The sequence below is a fragment of the Homo sapiens genome, chromosome 4 (assembly GCF_000001405.40).
Source record: "Homo sapiens chromosome 4, GRCh38.p14 Primary Assembly".
Taxonomy (NCBI): domain Eukaryota; kingdom Metazoa; phylum Chordata; class Mammalia; order Primates; family Hominidae; genus Homo; species Homo sapiens.
In genome coordinates this window covers 48141348-48162435 of record NC_000004.12, presented here as the reverse complement: position 1 = coordinate 48162435, position 21088 = coordinate 48141348, and the positions used below count along the sequence as shown (strand labels likewise).

Sequence of the window (21088 nt, the reverse complement as noted above, 5' to 3'; positions counted from 1 at the left end):
AATATGAGAACTCCTTTTATGACTCATGTGATTTCAGTTGAGGTTTTTCAATATTGAAGTTTATGATTCATGGCCTCGAGTGTTTCAAATGTACCTTAATTTGGAAATTTTCTCTCTTCCAAGAAATTTTCTTCCTCTGCATAACTCTGTACTTCAGCCTCCAGCGTGGGAGTGCCACTGCATTCTGTTCAGAGGCCAGGGAATCCACATGGCCTTTGTACCATGCCCAGTAGATGACCAAGGGGAAACCTGTTCCCATGTGGGCAGGCAGAGACCCTATTCTGTCTTCCTACTCCATGTTCTGTTTTGTTTTGTTTTGGCCAAAGCCCACCCTGTAACACAATTGTATTAGTCAGGGTTCTCTAGAGGGACAGAACTAATAGGATAGATGTATATATAAAAGGGAGTTTATTAAGGAGTACTGACTCACGATCACAAGCTGAGGTCCCATAATAGGCCGTCTGCAAGCTGAGGGGAAAGGAAGGCAGTCTGAGTCCCAAAGCTGAAGAACTTGGAGTCCAATGTTCGAGGGCAGGAAGCATCCAGTACGGGAGAAGGATGTAGGCCAGAAGACTAAACCAGTCTAGTCTTTCCAAGTTCTTCTGCCTGCTTTTATTCTGGTTGTGCTGGCAGCTGATTAGATTGTGCCCATCCAGATTGAGGGTGGGTCTGCCTTTCCCAGTCCACTGACCCAAATGTTAATCTCCTTTGGCAACACCGTCATGGACACACCCAGGAGCGATACTTTGCATCTTTCAATCCAATCAAGTTGACACTCAATATTAACCATCACAACAACTTAAATGTTCTCAAGTATTAAAAAAAAAAAAAAAAAAAGCCTCTGGCAGCTGTGGAGTGAATAGTTCTCTTTGCTTGGGCCCAGGAGGAATCCCAGGCCACAGACTGTCACTGGGCTGAACTCAGGATTTCCAGGCCCGCAGCTCCTAGTGTTATCAGTAACCTAGTTCTAACTTCCATACCCAGTCAACAGTGTAGGGAGGAGAAGATCGGAGAGATCAGTGCTGGAAAAGAAAGCAGATTCGTTGTGATGGTTAATAACAGGATGTTCTTGGTGGAAAGATGGTAAAGGGAGAAGGTGACAGAAATGAAAGCGCCCTTAGGACTGGAAAAAGCTTAGGATAAAGGCTTTGAGTGGGTGGCATAGTTAGAAGGGCAGAATTAGAGAACAAGCTAAGATGTATAACTGGTTGGTTTTATGTTTTTCCTTTGTTCTACCTCTTGTCTTCTTTTCATGATTTATTCTCACCCATTCTCACCAAGAAGCTTGGCAAGGGTCTGACCTTTCCGGGTTAAAAGATGAAATGCCCTCAAACCTCTTCTTTCCTTATTGACACTGCTATTTTGGGGTAACTAGCTAATCTGAAAAACTAATTCACATTAGGGATTTAATATCTAAGAAGAATCTGACAAATGACCTACAAATTCAGGGCCTAATTTCTAGATGTATAGTTCCTTCATCAAAAGGTATTAGCCTCTAATAAAGCTTTTCTGTGGCATGCTTTTTTTTTTTAAATCCCTACTTTTCAACCCGCTGCTTTTGAATTAATTCCTTCCTCCCTTCCTCCCTCCCTCTCTCCCTCCCTCCCTCTGTCTCTCTCTCTTTCTCTTTCTCTTTCTTTCTTCTTTTCTTTTCTTTCTTTCTTTTTTTCTTTTCTTTCTTTCTTTCTTTCTTTCTTTTTTTTTTTCTGGAGACAGAGTCTTACTCTGTCACCCAGGCTGGAGTGCAGTGGTGCAATCTCAGCTCACTGCAACCTCTGCCTCCCAGGTTCAAGCAATTCTCCTGCCTCAACCTCCTGGGTAGCTGGGATTACAGGTGCCCACTACCACACCCAGCTCATTTTTGTATTTTTAGTAGAGACAGGGTTTCAATATGTTGGCCAGGCTGGTCTCAAACTCTTGACCTGAAGTGATCCACTGGCCTTGGCCTCCCAAAGTGCTGGCATTACAGACGTGAGCCACCTCCCCTGGCCAAAGGTTTTTCTTTCAATTGTTGGGCCCTCTTTCTCCTGTCTCTGGACTGCTGCGCTGGCAACATGGTTGTTCCCAGCATTGGAATTAGGCTTGGGTGTGTGTTCTACTTCAGGACCCCATTGATTAGCATAACAGTAGGCAAATTTTAACCTCTTAGAATCAGTTTTCTCATCTTTAAAAGGTCAATAGGAACCATTTTAGCACTGCACAGGCTTTGAGACCAGACCTTTGGTTCAGTTTTTGGCTTTGCTGTTTCCCAGCTGTATGCCCTTGAGATATATTTTGCTTCTCTGTTTCTCAGTTTTTTCATTTGCAAAACAGTGGTGATAATACTACTTAACCTCCTAAGAGTTGTGAGGATGAAATGAGGTAATAAATGTAACGTGCTTAGAGCAGCACCTGACTGCTGTGGCTTGGATCTGGAGACCTTGCCAAGTCTCATGTTGAAATTTGATCCCCAATTTTGGAGCAGGGGCCTGGGGGAAGATGTTTGGATTATGGAGGTAGAGATCTCCCTCATGATGAATGGCTTGGTACCATTCTCAAGGAAGTGAGTTCTCACGCTTAGTTCCCACAAGAACTGGTTGTTGAAAAGAGCCTGGGCTTGGCACAGTGGCTCACACCTGTAATCCCAATACTTTGGGTGCTGAGGTGGGCAGATTGCTTGAGGTCAGTAGACCAGCCTGGCCAACATGGTGAAACCCCATTTCTACTAAAAATACAAAAAGTTAGCTGGGCGTGGTGGCGGGTGCCTGTAATCCCAGCTACTTGGGAGGCTGAGGCAGGAGAATCGCTTGAACCCAGGAGGGGCAGGTTGCCAAGATTGCGCCATTACACTCCAGCCTGGACAACAAGTGTGAAACCCCATCTCAAAAAAAAAAAAAAAAAATTAGCGTGGTGGCATGTAGTTGTAGTCCCAGCTACTTGGGAGGCTGAGGCAGGAGAACCACTTAAACCCAGGAGGTGGAGGTTGCAGTGAGCCGAGATCGTGCCACTGCACTCCAGCCTGGGCGAAAGAGCAAGACTCTGTCCCAAAAAAATAAAAAAGAAAAGAGCCAGGTGCCTCTCTCTTCTCTTGCTTTCTCTGTCTTGCCATGTAATGTCTGCACGCCAGCTCCCTTCATCTTCGGACGTGAGTGGAAGCAGCCTGAGGCCTTTTTTCAGATGCTGGTGCTGGCACCATGCTTCTTGTACAGCCTGCAGGACCATGAGCCAAATATACCTCTTCTCTTTATAAATTAGCCAGCCTCAGGTATTCCTTTATAGAGGTGTGTGGTATCTGTGTCACATTTTACCTGTGTGTATAGTTATTCCTGACAGGAGAATTCAGGGGAGCCTTTGTTGTCTTTTTTTTTTTTTTCTTGCCTGGAGATAGATAATCACAGGAGAGGAGAAAGAAGCCACCAAGAACTGAACTGTTAGAAAATCCCGACCATGAGTTAATTCATTTATTTATTTGTGTATGACTCCTTCCTCCTTTCTGTCTTTCAACAGACACTTAAAGGTCTGAATTGATATCCCAAAGAAGGGAACATCCTTTCCAGGGAACATCCTTTCCAGGGAACTTGCCAACACCATAAAAATGATCCCTCAGAACAGGATTTTCAAGAGCCTTCCTTTTGTGCAGTGGATTCCTTCTTTCCTCCTCCTTCTGAGGAGCTGGAAACAGTAGATGAGGAAGGGACCTCCTTCTTTTTCTGAGTATCTTATGTTTGGTTTCCTCTTGAGAGCTACAATTTAGCTTCACTGATTTCTTGTATCTGAACCCAAGATGAAACCACCTTTGCTTACTCTTATTGTGAAGATGGACTGGATCTTCTGTTTTTAATAACTTTTTTTCAGTCTCTCAAATCCTGCTACTTTATAATTCATAATTAAAGCTCCAGGTGTGTTTCCTTAGTTAATTTTTGTGAATGTTTTTGGCACTTGACAAATGTTTCTTATATCAGTGGAAAAGCGTTAGGGTCAGAATTCTGTTCTCCTAATTTACTATATTTCTTAATTGCATTCAGAAATGTATTGATCACAACTGCAATTTTGTTGAACTTGGTCTCATTTTATAAAGCGGGATCCATGTAATGAGATGTTTGCAATTCTGAGGCCTGGTTCAACACCTCCGATTCCAAATAAAATATCTAACAGTCTTTAGCTTGGATTGAGGCTGTAATTTGCATTTGGCTACTATATAAAAGAATCTGGACAGAAAAAGATCTTGTATTGTCTTTTTTGTTCTTTGTGTTTTTCCCTTCTTTAGTCAGGGAAGGCCTGTGTTTCCCTGTTTTAGGGTTTTTGCTGGGCCAAAAGCAGGTGCTGGTTCTCTTATGGAAGGCTGAAGCAGTACTGGGAAATTTAAATGTCCAGAGGAGCTGAGCTGATTTTATAACATTTGAATTCTCAGGGTATATGACTGTGGTGGAGAATTCTTTGCCAACAAGTAAGGATCTAACAAAATAAGTTTAAAACCAAAGACCGAAGAAAATTGTCTATGTTCTTATAGCCTATTTGCTTAAATCACATGGAGGGATTGATTATGCTGGGGAAAGTAGAGAGAGGCAAGTATCTCTGAGGATGAGGTGGTTAATGACAGTATCAAGAAAAGGGCTTTCCAAAGGATAAGAAGAGGTACAGGGCCAGGCATGGTGGCTCATGCCTGTAATCCCAGGATTTTGGAAAGCCAAGGTGGGCAGATCCTTTGAGGCCAGGAGTTCGAGACCAGCCTGGCCAACACAGTGAAACCCTGTCTCTACTAAAAATACAAAAATTAGCTGGGTGTGGTGGCGCATGCCTATAATTCCAACTACTCAGGAGGCTGAGGCAGGAAAATTGCTTGAACCTGGGAGGTGGAGTTTGCAGTGAGTTGAGATTTCACTACTGCACTTTAGTCTGGGTAATGGAGCAAGACTCTGTCTCAAAAAAAGAAGAAGCGGTGCAGATTGGCAGGGCCTTGGGATGTGGCACAGGGTGGTGGAAAGATCTGGTGGGAGGGAAGACCAGCTGCTTGGTCATGGTAGACATTTCTACAATAGAGTCTTGGGCAACCACAGGGCTTGGGGTTCTGCTGGAAACCAGTAAGTCTGAAGACCCAGGAGGCCTGTGCTTATGTTTTGCCGTTTCTTTTGTCACCTGGGACCTTTGTGAAATTCATTGAGGGAGCCTCCATTATGACTTGAGATGAAATCTGCTGCCATATTGATAGGAGGAGGGCTTGGAATAAGATTTAGTTTGAATTACAGACAATAATACAAAGGGACACTTCCTGCATGTTTTAGTCAGTGGAGTAAAATTCATTCTTGCCATGATTCTAGTAGTGAAAAATTAAAAATGATTTTTATGTTGAACAGTGAAGAAGAGCTTAAATAAATTATGACACATGCATACTATCATATGTAGACCTATATTGATTTGCAAAAATATCCTATAATGTTATATGAAAAATTCAGGTTATCGTATAGCCTATGTAGTTTGATCTCACTTTAATGAAACATAAGAATATGGGCATACATACATGTTTTCATAGAAATATGGGTAGAAAAAGTCTGGAAGTATATACATCAAAATTATTAGTTGTCTATTATTGAAATTATGAGTGATATCTTGTTCTTATTTGTTATATTTATTATTGATGAGCAGAATTACTTTATTAATTCTGAAAAGAATAAAATATATCCTAAAAACCTGAGGCCTGAAATGTATTGTTTTTTCTGTTCAGATGGTATTGCAGAAATATGAATAGAAGCAAGGCAGAGCAACTCCTCCGCAGTGAAGTAAGTGTTTGTACTTGTGGGTTTGGCTTAAGGGCAAATTAATTTTAATGAGTCCATAATAAGTAGTTCCACATATCTCTCTTTCTAAATGTGTTCAGCAGTGAGCAAGTCTATGCAAAACTATTCCCAGAGGCTGAGGGAGCTGAGAGGCTGAAGAAAGAGGCTGACAAATCCAGTTTCTAGAAATAAATATTTAATAGGGACTTACAAACAGAAGTAATCATGGGTGGCCTCAGGACAGTTATCCCCACACCTGCCCTCTGGACATTATTCTTTATATAGCAAACTTTTAGGGTGAAACATGTGCAGCTGGACATGTCTTCAGCCTTTCTTACCAACACACATGACCACTGGTGAGGTTAGATAAACATCTTTATGAAAGCATTGTTTAAACACCTTGCTGCAGAACACCTTGATAAGTGGGGATCGAGCACTGGTCATCATTGCGGTTTCACTTCAAGGTTACATCACTCTTGCCATGTAACAGGCTGTTTTCCTACACGCTACACCTTGAAACTGGCCCTTACAATTTCATATACCCAAAGCCTTGGTAAAATAACCAGTGTGGTTATTGTAGCAGTGGTGTCCCCAGTATGTCCTGTTACAAAAGAAAACATATTCTTATTGAACTTATGCAAGTAACTGTATTGCCACAAAATAAGAATACTCACAAATAGCTTCTAAATTTTGAAGAAATCAGGTAGAGAGAATAGTTAGTGCTTCAGTTTGGCTCTCAAAAGTATACTTTACTCAATTGCTGTAAGTTTTAAATAGTTCAAAACACACAAAAACACATTTTCTTGACTCTTCTTCAGAGTAGCAGTCTTCTGCACAGGATGTTGTCCATTCACCTTGGAACTGCCATCCACAAACCTAGCAACTCTTGGTAGGTCAGTTGAGAGCTGTTTATTGGGCACTGTAGAATCCAGCAGCTACTCACACAGTTCCAGAGTCAGTCTTTGGGTTAGAGAAGCCCCCTGCTCATGAGTGTCTCCTCCTTGCACCCACCAGATAGTGTGATCCTGTATCAACTATTTCCATTTTATGATGGAACTCTTTTAGATACTGCTGTCTCTATTAGAGTGTTCCTCTGACATCACCTGAAACAGCATGGACATTTCAGGTGTCAAGATCATTTTATATTCTTCAGTCATAGATGTAGCTATAGTTAGCATCCATAGCAAGGCAGTAAATGCCCGTCTAGTAGAAGTTCTGTAGTCCAGAGTCCCAGTAGTTGTCACTGGGAGGTGCTAACTGGCTTTTGCCATAAGACCTACTAAACACTCAACAAAAGACTATCAAGTAGAAAATTTGTCCCTACCAGCATTCCAACTTCCTCTACGCTATGAGCTTGGGCAGTTATACTGGCTCCCATTTATCATGTCCAATTAATATTGCTTGAAAGGCAGATTTACATGCCCTCTGTTTTACAATAGAAGAAACATTCCCTAGTCAGATACAATGTTCATTCCCATAAAACATATAGATAAAGGAGACACAGCTACTTTACATAAAGCCTGTTCAAACATTCCAACTTTCATAGTCTTATAAACCTTTATGATTTTATGTTTTAGTCCTAGGAACTTCTTTTCTCTACCTCCAGAACATTTTACCCTCTGTTGTGCAAAAGGCTTTAGGTTCCCAGTAGGGGGTTGAGCCAAGGGACCCTGGCCCTTTTGTCAGTCTTTATCTTGATTAACCTGCTTCAGTTTTGCCCTGAAACAATTGTTGGTCAGCCTTATCATTATAATCCCTGTCTTTTAGCTTTTTAAGTTTCTGCAGACTGGGGATATAGCAAACTAATTTTGGGCTCTTTAATGTTGGGGACTCAGCAGGGGCTTCTTTTAGTCCACACAACCTTCAATAGTGTTGTATTAAGACCCTTGTTTTAACCCCATAAATTTCCATTTTATTCATTTGATTTTTTTAATAACCATCCAAAGATTTCCTCCCTGCTGGGACAAGTTCCATGACTCTTTCCTTTCTTTTTCTTCATTCTCTTTCTACCCATTTAGTTTTATCTATATCATTTTTTCCCTTCATTTTGAAACAACCTTTAAATAACCTCTAAACTAGAAAAAATTACTTTTTCTTAAGCAAAAACCATATCCTATCTTTTATGTAGCCTTCTTCACCAAAAACTCATCTTCCTTTCTTTATACACTGTGTATATAGAATTGTTTCTCTTACATGTGGTAGTTTTAATTACATACACTAACTACTATTGTAATTCTTAGTAGTACTAATTTCCAGTAAAAAATCTAGGAAGTGATTAATTTTAATTAAGCTCACATGCAAGTCAAGCAAGTGTCAAGAAGGTCACAGAAGCAGCAGTTTTATGACCTTAATCAGAGACAACCTAAACCTGTCTGACCAGTAGGTCTAGGCAAAATGTCTGAATTAAATTCTGAAGATGTTTCTATTTTATTTTACCAACAATTTAAAAACTAGTTTCATTTACCAAAAGTTTTCTTAGATCACATAGAAATGTCACACACACATAACACATATAGACATATAGGCATACAGGCACACAGGAGCAAACCTTACAGCTTTCATAAGGAGTTGTCACTGCCAGCTTTCAGATAGTTTTCATTTTCCCTTTTGTTAGCACAGCATACCCTGTAGCAATTTATTTTTCATCCTGAAAGTAAAAGTTGCTTTATCAAGTCCCATGAAAACCTGAGCATAGATGGTTTACCTCATTCTTAATTCTTAGAGAAGCCCCTGGGGCTTTCCACTGACCACCACAAGGTTGTCCCTCCTGGTAAATTTCCTTCATTAGGCCAAACCTCTGTCACAGCCAGAATGATCCAGGCCATAAGGCTACAATTCCCTTGTGTATGCCTTGCATTATGAAGGCGTTGCTGCAGGGCTGGGTGGGTAGTAATGTCACTCATTTTTTTCTGCTTCATTCCTGGCTAGGGAAATACCATCACCCACTGTGTCCCGCAGTTAGACCATCCAAGCAGCCAGGGGTTCCCTAGGTAGTTGTTGTTGTTGTTGTTTTTAACTCATTTGTGCTGGAGGTTGCAAATTTTTTGTGTGTGAAAAATCAGACCTTGGTGATGACTTTGAGCAGTAGAATATAAATAACTCCCACAGCTTAGTGTTCCAATAATGGAACACTAGGCATAAATGGGTTAAAGGCTAATCAAGTGACGCAGTGGGAGTAGAGAAGGAAAAAAGAAATCTGTAACTGGTTGTCATCAATTAGTAGTAAACACTACTGTGCTAGGACCACCCAGTAGTTGGTTAAAGGTCTTTGCAATCTCTGAGTTCTGCAGCAGTGTATTCCCTGGCCGGGAGAGTCTCCTGTAGTGGCTCATCCTCATTTTCCTGCAATTGTTGCACTTTCACTTTCCTTAGCATGAGGGGCAAGCTTACTCTAATGCTTTCTTCCTGATTGATCATTTGCTCCCTTGACTTTTAGTACTTAAGTATTTCTTTTTTTTTTTTGGCTTGAAGTTAGTTATTTTAAAATAATTTACATTGATATTACATAATGTCTTTTATAAATAAAGCGTTAATAGATGTTTAATTCCATTTAGAAATAAATGTGCTGAAATTGCTATACCTTTAAAAAGAAATAAAATGAAAGGGTAAAATGTATAGAGGGAACTACTCTGTGCTGAGTAAGGGGACCTGGGTCTACCTGTGACTTTTCTAGTCTACTTTTTGCATCTGTAAGAAAAGGAGTTAGACTAGAAGATGATCTCTACAATTCTCTGCATTTCTGATTTAGTATTCTATTTAGTTATTGTTTCCAGCCTTTTAAACTCATGCTTTCTCATTTTACCTCCTGCTTATTATCATGCTCAAGATTTTGTTGAGTGCTTGTTTTTGTAGTTGATGTTAAAAAAACAATAGTAGGTGACTTTGCTTGACAACTACACATAACCATGCCCACAGGATTCTTCCATGACTCTCTGGAGACCCTACAGTGAGAGGCAGATGTAGGGGAGTGAGTAGCTAAATGGCAGCCTGGGGACCAAATCCTGGCTCTGCTACTTACTAGCTGCATGACCTGGTGCAAATTACCCAGCCAGTCTTTCTGTTCTCATTTCCTTACCTGTGAAATAATGTGGGAATAACAATAGTACCTATGTAATAGGACTGTTTCGATGATTAAATAAATTAATATGCTAGAACATTAGAACAGAATAAATTTTCGATAAATAAGTGGGTTGCTGTTAGACTGTATTTATTTATTTATTTATTTATTTATTTATTTATTTATTTATGATAGTATCTCTCTCTGTCTCCCAGGCTGGAGTGCAGTGGTATGATCTCAGCTTACTGCAACCTCCACCTCCAGGATTCAAGTGATTCTCTTGCCTCAGCCTCCTGAGTAGCTGAGATTACAGGCGCGCACCACCACGCCTGGCTAATTTTTAGTAAAGATGGGGTATTTTTAGTAGAGGTGGGGTTCTGCCATGTTGGCCAGGCTAGTCTTAAACTCACGACCTCAACTGATCTGCCTGCCTCGGCCTCCCAAGGTGCTGGGATTACAGGTATGAGCCGCTGTGTCCGGCCTCTGTTATACTTTTTACTGACCAGTTACAATTATTATCCCTAATTGTTACCAGATATTTTTGTGGAGCCTTATTTATTTAATTCCATTGTTTTTCCTATCAAGAAGAGTACAATTTATTTTATTTTTCAACTAATAAAGGACACACTTTTCATTTTAAAGCAATTTAAATACTAGAGATTGATGGTAGTGTTACTGGACAGAGAGGTATTTGAGGTTCGTAGGGTCTATTTCTTGCTTTTCAGTTTGGAAGCTGAGAAAGATTTGACCTTTAGTGCTTTAGCATTGTTTCCAACTATTGATTTTCTCTGTTTAAGTTACTTGTGCCTCCATCTCTCCTTTTGTAAAGGCTGATATTTGGCTGGGTGTGTTGGCTCACGCCTGTAATCCCAGCACTTTGGGAGATCAAGGCGGGTGGATCACTGGAGGTCAGAAGTTCGAAACCAAGCTGGCCAATGTAGTGAAACCCCGGCTCTACTGAAAATACAAATATTAGCTGGACATGGTGTTGCACACCTGTAATTCCAGCTACTCGGGAGGCTGAGGCAGGAGAACTGCTTGAACCCAGGAAGTGGAGATTGCAGTGAGCTGAGATCGCACCACTGCACTCCAGCCTGTGCAATAATGTGAGACTCTGTCTCAGAAAAAAAAGACCGATATGACTGATATTTAACTTCAACTTCTAGAGAATTAAGAATTTTTAAATTCATTCTTATAAAAAGCACTGAGACATTTTTAGGAAAATTCAGCATGGATTGAAAATCATACTGAGTCAGGAATCAAAGCTTATAACAAATACAAAAAATGTATGAAATGAAACCCAATCATTAAGAAATACATTTTTTCATGACAGTTTTCCTACATGTCCAGGCCTTACAGGAATTGCAAAATCTTGTCTCTCAGTTCTGGAAGGGCACTGAGAGATTATCTGATTGAAATGTCTCACCATTCATGAGGATTTGTGATTGTGGGGAATTGAGTGTGATTTCCTTAACTACTCTCCTAGCGCAGTAATTTGAAGTACAAAGTCATGTGGGTGGGAGAAACCAAGGGGCCCTACTGGTAAGTTGTGCTTCTTCAAAGCATTTTTTTCTGGGAAAGAATAATAATCATAAAATTATAATATTAGGTTCTTTAGTCTTCTCCATGGCAATGCTATTAGTAATTAGAGTAAAAAAAATTTTTTCTGAACTTGGATTTTAGGATAAAGAAGGTGGTTTTATGGTAAGGGATTCCAGTCAACCAGGCTTGTACACAGTCTCCCTTTATACCAAGTTTGGAGGGTGAGTAATCCTGCCATTTTTTTTTATAATTTAGAGTTTTTGTATGAACTTCCTATGTAGTTTATATGGATTCCTAATTTTCATAAAAATATGCAGCATTTCACCATTAAAAAGAAAACCTGAACTTGATTTCTAAAGTGTATATACTGTTTTTTGTATTTATATTTTCAGTAATTTTCCTTATAGTTTTTCATATATATTTGTTGAGTATGGCTATAATAACTTTAGTAACATTCAACAAACATTTATAGTGAACTGTGCTGGTCACTAAGGATAAAAATATGAGCAAAGGAGGCAGAGACCCTGCCCACCAGTAGGTTAGTAGATGCTGCAGCCCAGTAACAGAGAGTGATGGTAGTAAGTGCCATGTGGGAGGGTAATGTGTGTGTGTGGCGGGTTTGGGGATGGGGGATGGTACATACACAGCCCAGGCACATCTTGAGTTAGTCATGAACGCTCTCCCAAGTGATATCCAGGCTGAGACCTGATAGGCGAGCAGGAAAAACTTGGAGGGAGGAGACGGAGTGTTTCTGACCCAGGAAATTGCCTGGACCTAGACGGGAGAGAGTATATGGTGAGTTCAAGGCACTGAAAAGTATGTTGTAGCTGCAGGTAGAATGGGAGCACAGAGTGAAGGGAGGAGAGAGAAGCCTCAGAGTTGAAGCAGAGGCAAGTTCATGTCAATGTCAGTGACTCTGAGCTTTACCCTAAGAGCAACAGGAGTCATCTTGAAAGTATTTTTAGCAAGAGAGGACTAGAGAAGATCTGTGCTCTAGAAAGGTCCCTCAAGTTGAATATTTAAAAGTCTAATTTATTCACTATTGGTGATTTAAGTGTTCTAGACATTTGTAAGTTTATGCAACAGCAGGAACAAAAAGCAGTAGCTGCTAATAGCTATTTTAAGACTTCCAACTGTTGTTAAATGGAATTCATAAATGTTCTCTTTCAAAATCTCATGCAAAGGGCCAAGTATGTTTTCAGTGAGTAATTTAAAAACTTTGACATGCTAATATGAAAGACAAAGCTAAGAAGAACAAGGGGAAAGTAAAATTTGTGCCAGGAATAGATGGGATCATATGGAGAGACACTGTGGTTGCCCTTGTAGAAAACATCTTAAGAATGAAGTTCTATTATTTCAACTTGGTTCTGACACATTTTGATTTTTGTTCTAGAGAAGGTTCATCGGGTTTTAGGCATTATCATATAAAGGAAACAACAACATCTCCAAAGAAGTATTACCTAGCTGAAAAACATGCTTTTGGCTCCATTCCTGAGATTATTGAATATCATAAGCACAATGCAGCAGGTAAGTGAGCTGTGAAAACCTACTTCAAATATAAGGTAGTGATTAAAATGATCAGATACTGTGATTAATTCCTTGAGCAGTTTTATTTTATAGTTAGTTCATTGTAGAATGTGGTTGATTTTAAATTACTGCATATTAAAGGAATGATATATACAAAGAAAATTTAGAAATAATATCAAGTTTTATAAAAAGCTCTGTCTTGACCTTAGGACATGAGTTATTCCAGTGGTATATAGTAAATGTTCACATTACATTTATACACTGTTGGTGGCAGTGTAAATTAGTTCCGCCATTGTGGAAGACAGTGTGATGATTCCTCAAAGACCTAAAGACAGAAACACCATTCAAGCCAGCAATCCCATTACTTGGGTATATACCCAAAGGAATATAAATCATTCTATTATAAAGACACGTGCATGTGGGTGTTCATTGCAGCACTATTCATAATAGCAAAGACATGGAATTAACCTAAATGTCCATCAGTGATAGACAGGATAAAGAAAATCTGGTACAGATACACCATGGAATCTATGAAGCCGTAAAAGAAGAATGAGATCATGTCCTTTGCAGGGACATGGATGGAGCTGGAGGCCATTATCCTTAGCTAACTAACACAGGAACAGAAAACCAAATACTACATGGTCTCTCTTATAAGTGGAAGCTAAATAATAGGAATACATGGACACATAGAGGGGAACAACACACACTGGCATCTTTTGGAGGGTAGAGGTTGGGAGGACAGAGAGGATCAGGAAAAACAACTAATGGGTACTAGGCTTAATACCTGGGTGATGAAATAATCTGTACAACAGACCCCCATGACACAAGTTTACCCATATAACAATTTGCACTTGTAACCCTGAACTTAAAAGTTTAAAAAGTTCACATTTATGTGGTATATATGTCCTTGACACTAAAGTCCAAGATATGTCTATTTCAGAATAGTCACAGAAGATGCCAGATAAGCCAGGATTCAGTCCTATGCTATAGGTTTCCAGAGACTAGAGTAATCATGTCCCACAAGTTAACCGTCTTGAATCTCTGGTACACTTACCACCAGAGTGGGAACAAACTGAATACCAAAAAATAACAGAAACCACATTCATGAAAATTAGAGTTCCACAGGATTATATAGAAAGATTTCCAGCCTTTGACTTTAAAAATGTAACTGGGCAGGGATAGCCCAGTGCTTCACACAACTTATGAAAAATTTTGAAATTTTATTGAAGGCACCCTTTGCAAAGCCTATTATTTTGTGACTGTTCACTTTTTTTTCAGATAATAATAATGGTTATTTAGATAAAATTTACATACTATAAAGCTCACCCATTTAAAGTATACAATTCAGTGGTTTTTAGTATATTTACAGAGTTGTGCCAACTATCAGCATAATCTAATTTTTTTAAAGAACATTGTCATCATCCCAAGAAGAAATCTTGTGTCAAATAATTGTCATCCCATCCCCCTTCACCAGCCCAGCCCCAGGCAACTATTAACCTACTTTCTGTCTCTCTTATAGATTTGCCTATTCTGGACATTTCATATAAATGGAATTATACAATATGTGGTCTTCCGTGACTAAGCTTCTCTGACTTAACTGTTTTTGACATTGTCATGTTGTAGTATGTAGATGTATTCCATTCCCTTTTTTAAAAACATACATCACAAGTTTATTGAAATAATCAGATAATATAAACAAAATGAACAGGGCTTGACACATAGTAATTGCACAATAACTTCTACCTATTATTGAGTTACAACCCAGAGCCTAACACAATATTTGTGGAATGCTTAGGTTCTCAGGCCAGCATACAAGTCTACATTTAACTCTTAAATAAAATAACAGTTTCAAATTGAGTATAATAATGCTAAATGGTGAGACAGGATCAACCCCTCTATCTCCAAATATAGGGGGATTATCTTACCATCCACCTGTTGTATTAGAAAGTCATGCTTCATCTACTTATGGAAGCCAAGACATAGCCTAGATATGTACAAACTATAGATATAACGATGTTAAGGAAAAAAATTGCTGACAATATCACTAGGGATTCTAGACAATGTAAATTGCCATTAATGTTTATTGCTGTGATGGACTTCCTGAACACATTGTTAGAAATTGGTTTGTGGCCAGGTATACAAATAATTCATTGTATGGATTTTATTATTCATCAGTTGATGGACATTTGGGTTGTTTCCACATTTGTTCTCTTATGAATAATGCTTCTGTAAACAGTTGTGTACTAGTTTTTGCATGGAAATATGTTTTCATTTCTTTTGGGTATTTACCTAGTTATGGGTATGCTGCGTCATATGGTAACTCTGTGTTTAACATTTCAGGAACTGATTTCATATCAATTTATATCTCATTCTGTTGTTTTCTTTTTTGGTGTTTTTGCTCCCTAATTTTTTCTTCCGTGTTCCTGTATAAGTTTTATTTTTCACCGTCATCTCAATTCATTCAACAAACATATATCAAGTGCCTACTGCATGCCAGAAACAGAGCCAGGCTTTGGGGAGACTTCAATATTTCAGTGGTGGACTAGGTGTAGTCACTGATCCTGATTTTCCCAGACCCTACCACTTGTGGGGAGACAGAGAAGTACATAACGATTTTAAATTGCTTTGAGATATCTTGTAGTAGAGGAAATACAGAGTGCTATGGGTGTTTATGGAAGAGACATCTCCTGTTTCTTATTTAGTGCTGTATGCGACTTGGGTTAAAAGATCCACACTGATTTCCAGTAGTTGGTATTCCCAGTTGTTGCTATCCTAGAGCCCGATTTGTATGCTAAGATTGCTAATACTGAGTCATGTCAGGTGAATAACTTCCATTTTTAGCAGACTAATCTAATTCCCTTTCATAGTTCAGCTCTCATATTGGAAAAGAACACGAAATAACTGTTAGAAACCTTTTAACATCCTTTAAAATATTTGAAAAAAGAGAAAGCTGGCATGGTGCCTGTTAAACACTGTAGTATTTAAAAGAAAATGTTTGTTGAATGAATAAAAGCATATAGCAGAGTGCTGTATGTACACACAGAGGATGAGCAGTAAATGAATAAATGATGAATTTTCTAAGTGAGTTTCCTGTAGCATGTGACCAAGCAGAATGATTATGAATGAGTTTGACTGCAACGCTTTCTTTGATTATTAGGACTTGTCACCAGGCTTCGGTACCCAGTTAGTGTGAAAGGGAAGAATGCACCCACCACTGCAGGATTCAGCTATGGTAACTCTTATTTTGTGGTTGCATGAGCTAATTTTCCTTGAAAAGAATCCATTGTCATAAGATAAATTTGGATGTGTACTATTTCACATACTGGAACTGTTTTTTATAAGTTTATAGTATAGGTTTTTAGATAATTATACTTAAGACCATAGCAGCCTAGGTATTCAATTTTCATCATTATTCATAATTCCATAGAAAACTTTCTGTCAGTGAAAAATAAGCATTATCATGTTAACATCTAAAATAAATCAAAGCCCTTCCTGGTTCTCACTAGCTTTATTGGCTACAAGAACGTGAGTAAGGATGGAGGTAAGAAAGCAAGCTTCCAACTTAATTGTCTTTGTTGCTTCTGGCAAAAGCCTTTAAAACAGCAAATTAGATTATTTCCAACTTGATGGAATTGAAAAAGAACAACAACAAAAAAAAAACCTGAGAAGGAAGAGTGGTAAAGAAGGAAGTATTTGTTTGACAAAAGTACCTTTAACTTTCAGGCTATATTATTATTAGCTTGTTATGCAGAATTGTCTTGCCTTCTTCATTTCACGTTGGTTAGAAGGGATTCATCCTTCCCACCTTTGGCAGTTCAGATGCAGGTTTCAAGTCTGTTCTGTGTTTTACCAGGAATTATTACAGTGTTATCCTGTAATTTTGAGGTTGATCTTGGTTGTAGGTTCTTTTTCCCCCTCTCTGATTCATGCTACATTTTCCTTTTTAAATATGAACACTTTCACTTTCTGTCCTGCAGAGAAATGGGAGATTAACCCTTCAGAACTGACCTTTATGAGGGAATTGGGAAGTGGACTGTTTGGAGTGGTGAGGCTTGGCAAATGGCGAGCCCAGTACAAAGTCGCAATCAAAGCTATTCGGGAAGGTGCAATGTGCGAGGAGGACTTTATAGAAGAAGCTAAAGTGATGATGTAAGTTGCTATCATCTTTCTGGCTCATCTTTTTGTATTAAGAAGTGGCCCCTTACCAAAAACTTGGTAGTTTCTTTTCCTATAGTAACTATATATATGTCTTCCTTCCCAGGAAACTGACACACCCGAAGTTAGTGCAGCTTTATGGTGTGTGCACCCAGCAGAAACCAATATACATTGTTACTGAGTTCATGGAAAGGGGCTGCCTTCTGAATTTCCTCCGACAGAGACAAGGTCATTTCAGTAGAGACGTACTGCTGAGCATGTGTCAGGATGTGTGTGAAGGGATGGAGTATCTGGAGAGAAACAGCTTCATCCACAGAGATCTGGTAACCCTAGCCACCCATATTCCCACTCATTGGCTGAATTCCTTTGTAACACTGGCTCAGCAAATGTGCAATGATGTATTAATAGCCAATTTTTGTTCTTAACAATCTTTCACCATTATTTTTAAAGTTGGTAAATTTAACTTGCCCTGTAATTTTAAACGAAAGATCTTTATTCAATCTAATGATTTACTTAGTTAATATCTCCAAGCAAGTTTCCATGTTTTAATTTTTCGATCTCCATAAGAATCCCATGAGATAGCTACTCACAGTGGATTCTCTTACCATCATTCTTGTACAGATGAGAAAATTAGCTTCAGGGAAGTCAAAAGGCTCGCCTACTGTGATAAATAGGGAAATTGGGGTTGGCCTTGACTTTCTAACTAGAGCCCAAGTTCTTTTCCACCTCACACACTATAAAAAGAAACTATAAGAGAAATCCTTTGGATTTTTAAAAAATCTCTCAAATCACTGGGAAAACATGGAGGTTCATGTTAACTTCTCAAAATGCTAGAAAAAGAAATCCGTTACCAGTTCTAAATTATGATGGAGACAATTTTTCCCTTCTCACCTGTTCTCACTCTCTCCTCCATTCTTCTTTTCCTTCTGTTTTTCTTCTCTACCTGTTCTTTACAGATGCTTTCAGCTATCAGTAGCACTCTGTCCCCTGAAAATAATCAGCTGAAAATGTCTGTTTTCAGCATATCGGTAGCACTGTCTGTCCCCTGAAAATAATTCTTTTACCAAGAAGAGTGTAATTTTCATTTGGGACTTTCTCCCATATTTTAGTTTTAGCTTTCTAGTGATAAAGCATGGACACATTTCTTTTAGAAAGCAGAAAAACTTTAAAAAAATTTTTTTTTCCTTTGAGACAGGTCTCACTTTGTCTTCCAGGCTGGAGTGCAGTGGCGCAATCTTGGCTCACTGCAGCCTCAACCTCCCGGGTTCAAGCGATCCTCCTGCCTCAGCCCCCAAGTAGCTGAGACTATAGGCACGTGCCACCATGCCTGGCTAATTTTTGTAGAGATGGGGTTTCACCGTGTTGCTCAGACTGGTCTCGAACTCTTGAGCTTAAGCAATCTGCCTGCCTCAGCCTCCCAAGTGCTAGGATTACAGGTGTGAGCCACTGCACCTGGCCTTAGCAAAACATTTTTTAAAGTTAACAGTCACCTTAGACAGACATTGTTCTGATAAGTATTTTACAAATAAACTTGTTTAATCATAATTCTGGGAAGTAGATTTTCTTATTATTCCCTTTTTACAGATGAGGAAACTGAGGTGCAAATAGGATAAAATAACTTCCAATGGGCAAGTAAATTGTAGAGCCAGGATTTGAACCCAGGAAGTTTGGCTCTAAAGTCCCTACTTAACTACTATGCTATGCTCTCTAGAATTAAAACATATTAGAGAATTGAAGATTTGGAGATGGAACACTTTATTTCCTAGGTGTGTTTTGGGATACTTACCTTATCTTATATTCAGTTTCTGTGTCTGTAAATTGTGGGTTATAATGTTGTTTGGCTTCCAGGACTGTTTTAAAGGTCACATTATTTGACTGGGGCAATGGGCTTTGTAAAATAGACATGCTGTAGATAACATCAGTTATTGTTATCATTGTGTCAGGGATGATGAAGAACATCTCGTCAGTTAAAACTTGTGAACTAAGAACTAAGAACAAAATAGATGTCCTTATAAAACTGATAAAAACTGAGTATCTACGTGGGTGTGGCAGATTACACCTGTCCACACAGATGATGTTTTGGCAAAAACGATTCTTACATTTCTGTGCCTGTGATATTGGTATTACTATGGTAGGTTTGTGTCACCCCTTATGGGAAACTTTGGATGCTCTTGTCTCCTTGGTAAAGAATCCTGTTGACCATCCAGTGCAGGCATTGTGGAGTTGTGAAGTGTTTTCATAGGAAGATGCAGGCAGTCCAGGGAATGGATATTAACTCTCACTTTATAAGACTCTTAAAATGCACTCAGCAAGAAGGAACCTCATATGAGTGGAATTGCCACATAGAGAAAATAGAATTATGAACAGTCAGGAAGAAAAACATATCTTGGTCTATGGGTTATGGTATTAAAAATATTATCGGCCAGGTGTGGTGGCTCACGCCTGTAATGCCAGCACTTTTGGAGGCCGAGGCGGGCGGATCACGAAGTCAAGAGATCGAGACCATCCTGGCAAACATGGTGAAACCCTGTCTCTACTAAAAATACAAAAAAAATTAGCCAGGCGTGGTGGCAGACGCCTGTAGTCCCAGCTACTCGGGAGGCTGAGGCAGAAGAATCACTTGAACCCAGGAGGTGGAGGTTGCAGTGAGCCAAGGTCGCACCACTGGACTCCAGCCTGGTGACAGAGCGAGACTCAGTTTCAAAAATAAAAAATTAAAAAATTAAAAAAAAATTCTTGTCTTCCTTTTGAGAAATACCACGTCTTTCTATCAAACTATTTTCTTAAACCTTGTAACCTTGAAGAACATGCAAGAAAATATAAATTAAATAATCCACAATTGTATTTGACCAATTTTGTACATCATGTTATAATATACTGGGAACATAAATGAAAAAGCAAACTGTATTTACACATAGCTGTTCTTTTTGAGACGGAGTCTTGCTCTGTCACCCAGGCTGGAGTGCAGTGGCGCGATCTCTGCTCACTGCAACCTCCACCTCATGGGTTCAAGCAATTCTCCTGCCTCCAGTCCTAGGTAGCTGGTACTACAGTTGTGTGCCACCACACTTGGCTAATTTTTTTTGTATTTTTAGTAGAGAAGGGGTTTTGTCATGTTGGCCAGGCTGGTCCCGAACTCCTGACCTCAAGTTATCCACCCGCCTTAGCCTCCCAAAATGTTGGGATTGCAGGCGTGAGCCACTGCACCCAGCCTGTTCTTTGACTGGGATGAGATGACCAATCACTGAGCAGAAATATTGGATAAGAGATTGGTCGCCCATCATTTTGATGGTTGTGTGTTATTAAGCTCACCTAGTGAGAACCGGATTAAGGACTTCAAGAGATGTTCTCATTGTCAGTAAGAAAATTGGATAGTTTAATAAGAACAGGTCTGGGAAGGAGAAAAGTGAGTTGACCCTTCTATTAGCCCTTGTTTAAGAATGACAGTTGGCCGGTGAGGTTGCTCGTGACTATAATCCTAACAATGGGGGAGGCCGAGGCAGATGGATGAGGTCAGGAGTTCAAGACCAGCCTGGCCAACAAATACAATAATTAGCTGGCTGTGGTGGTGGGTGCCTGTAATCCCAGCTACTCTGGAGGCTGGGGCAGAAGAATCACTTGAAACTGGAAGGTGGAGGTTGCAGTGAGCCAAGATTGTGCCACTGCACTTCCAGCCTGGGCGACAGAGGCAGACTCTGTCTCAAAAAAAAAAAAAAGAAAGAAAAGAAAAAAAAAAGACAATTGGTAAAGATTATGTAATAATGCCTTATTGCAAATACAACTTTCTGACCTGCCTATTCATTTTTTTCAAATACACAATGGAAATACTTCCATAGGGGTAAAAACAACTTATTAAAGGGTGTTTCCACTCTCTGCAAATGTTGACTAGGTTACACTAAATTTAATATAAATAGAACTTACATTTTCCTACTTAAATGATAGAATTTTTAAACTAATATACCATCATAATGTTGTTTTCCAGGCTGCCAGAAATTGTCTAGTAAGTGAGGCGGGAGTTGTAAAAGTATCTGATTTTGGAATGGCCAGGTATGTC

General features: G+C 39.3%; 1 protein-coding gene across 6 annotated transcripts in view; it reads left to right on the top strand.

The window, feature by feature from the left end:
- Nucleotides 1-21088, top strand: part of TEC (tec protein tyrosine kinase) — a 134056-nt gene that overhangs the window by 107403 nt on the left and 5565 nt on the right. For 3 of the 6 annotated variants that reach the window (NM_003215.3, XM_047416106.1, XM_011513737.3), the window contains exons 9-15: nt 5702-5756; nt 11494-11573; nt 12746-12879; nt 16037-16111; nt 16857-17028; nt 17141-17357; nt 21017-21081. In NM_003215.3, coding sequence (NP_003206.2) covers nt 5702-5756; nt 11494-11573; nt 12746-12879; nt 16037-16111; nt 16857-17028; nt 17141-17357; nt 21017-21081 — 798 coding nt within the window. Of the gene's footprint in view, nt 1-5701; nt 5757-11493; nt 11574-12745; nt 12880-16036; nt 16112-16856; nt 17029-17140; nt 17358-21016; nt 21082-21088 lie in introns of those variants that run through there. The other 3 variants (XM_011513741.2, XM_047416107.1, XM_047416108.1) reach the window with 3 other exon arrangements.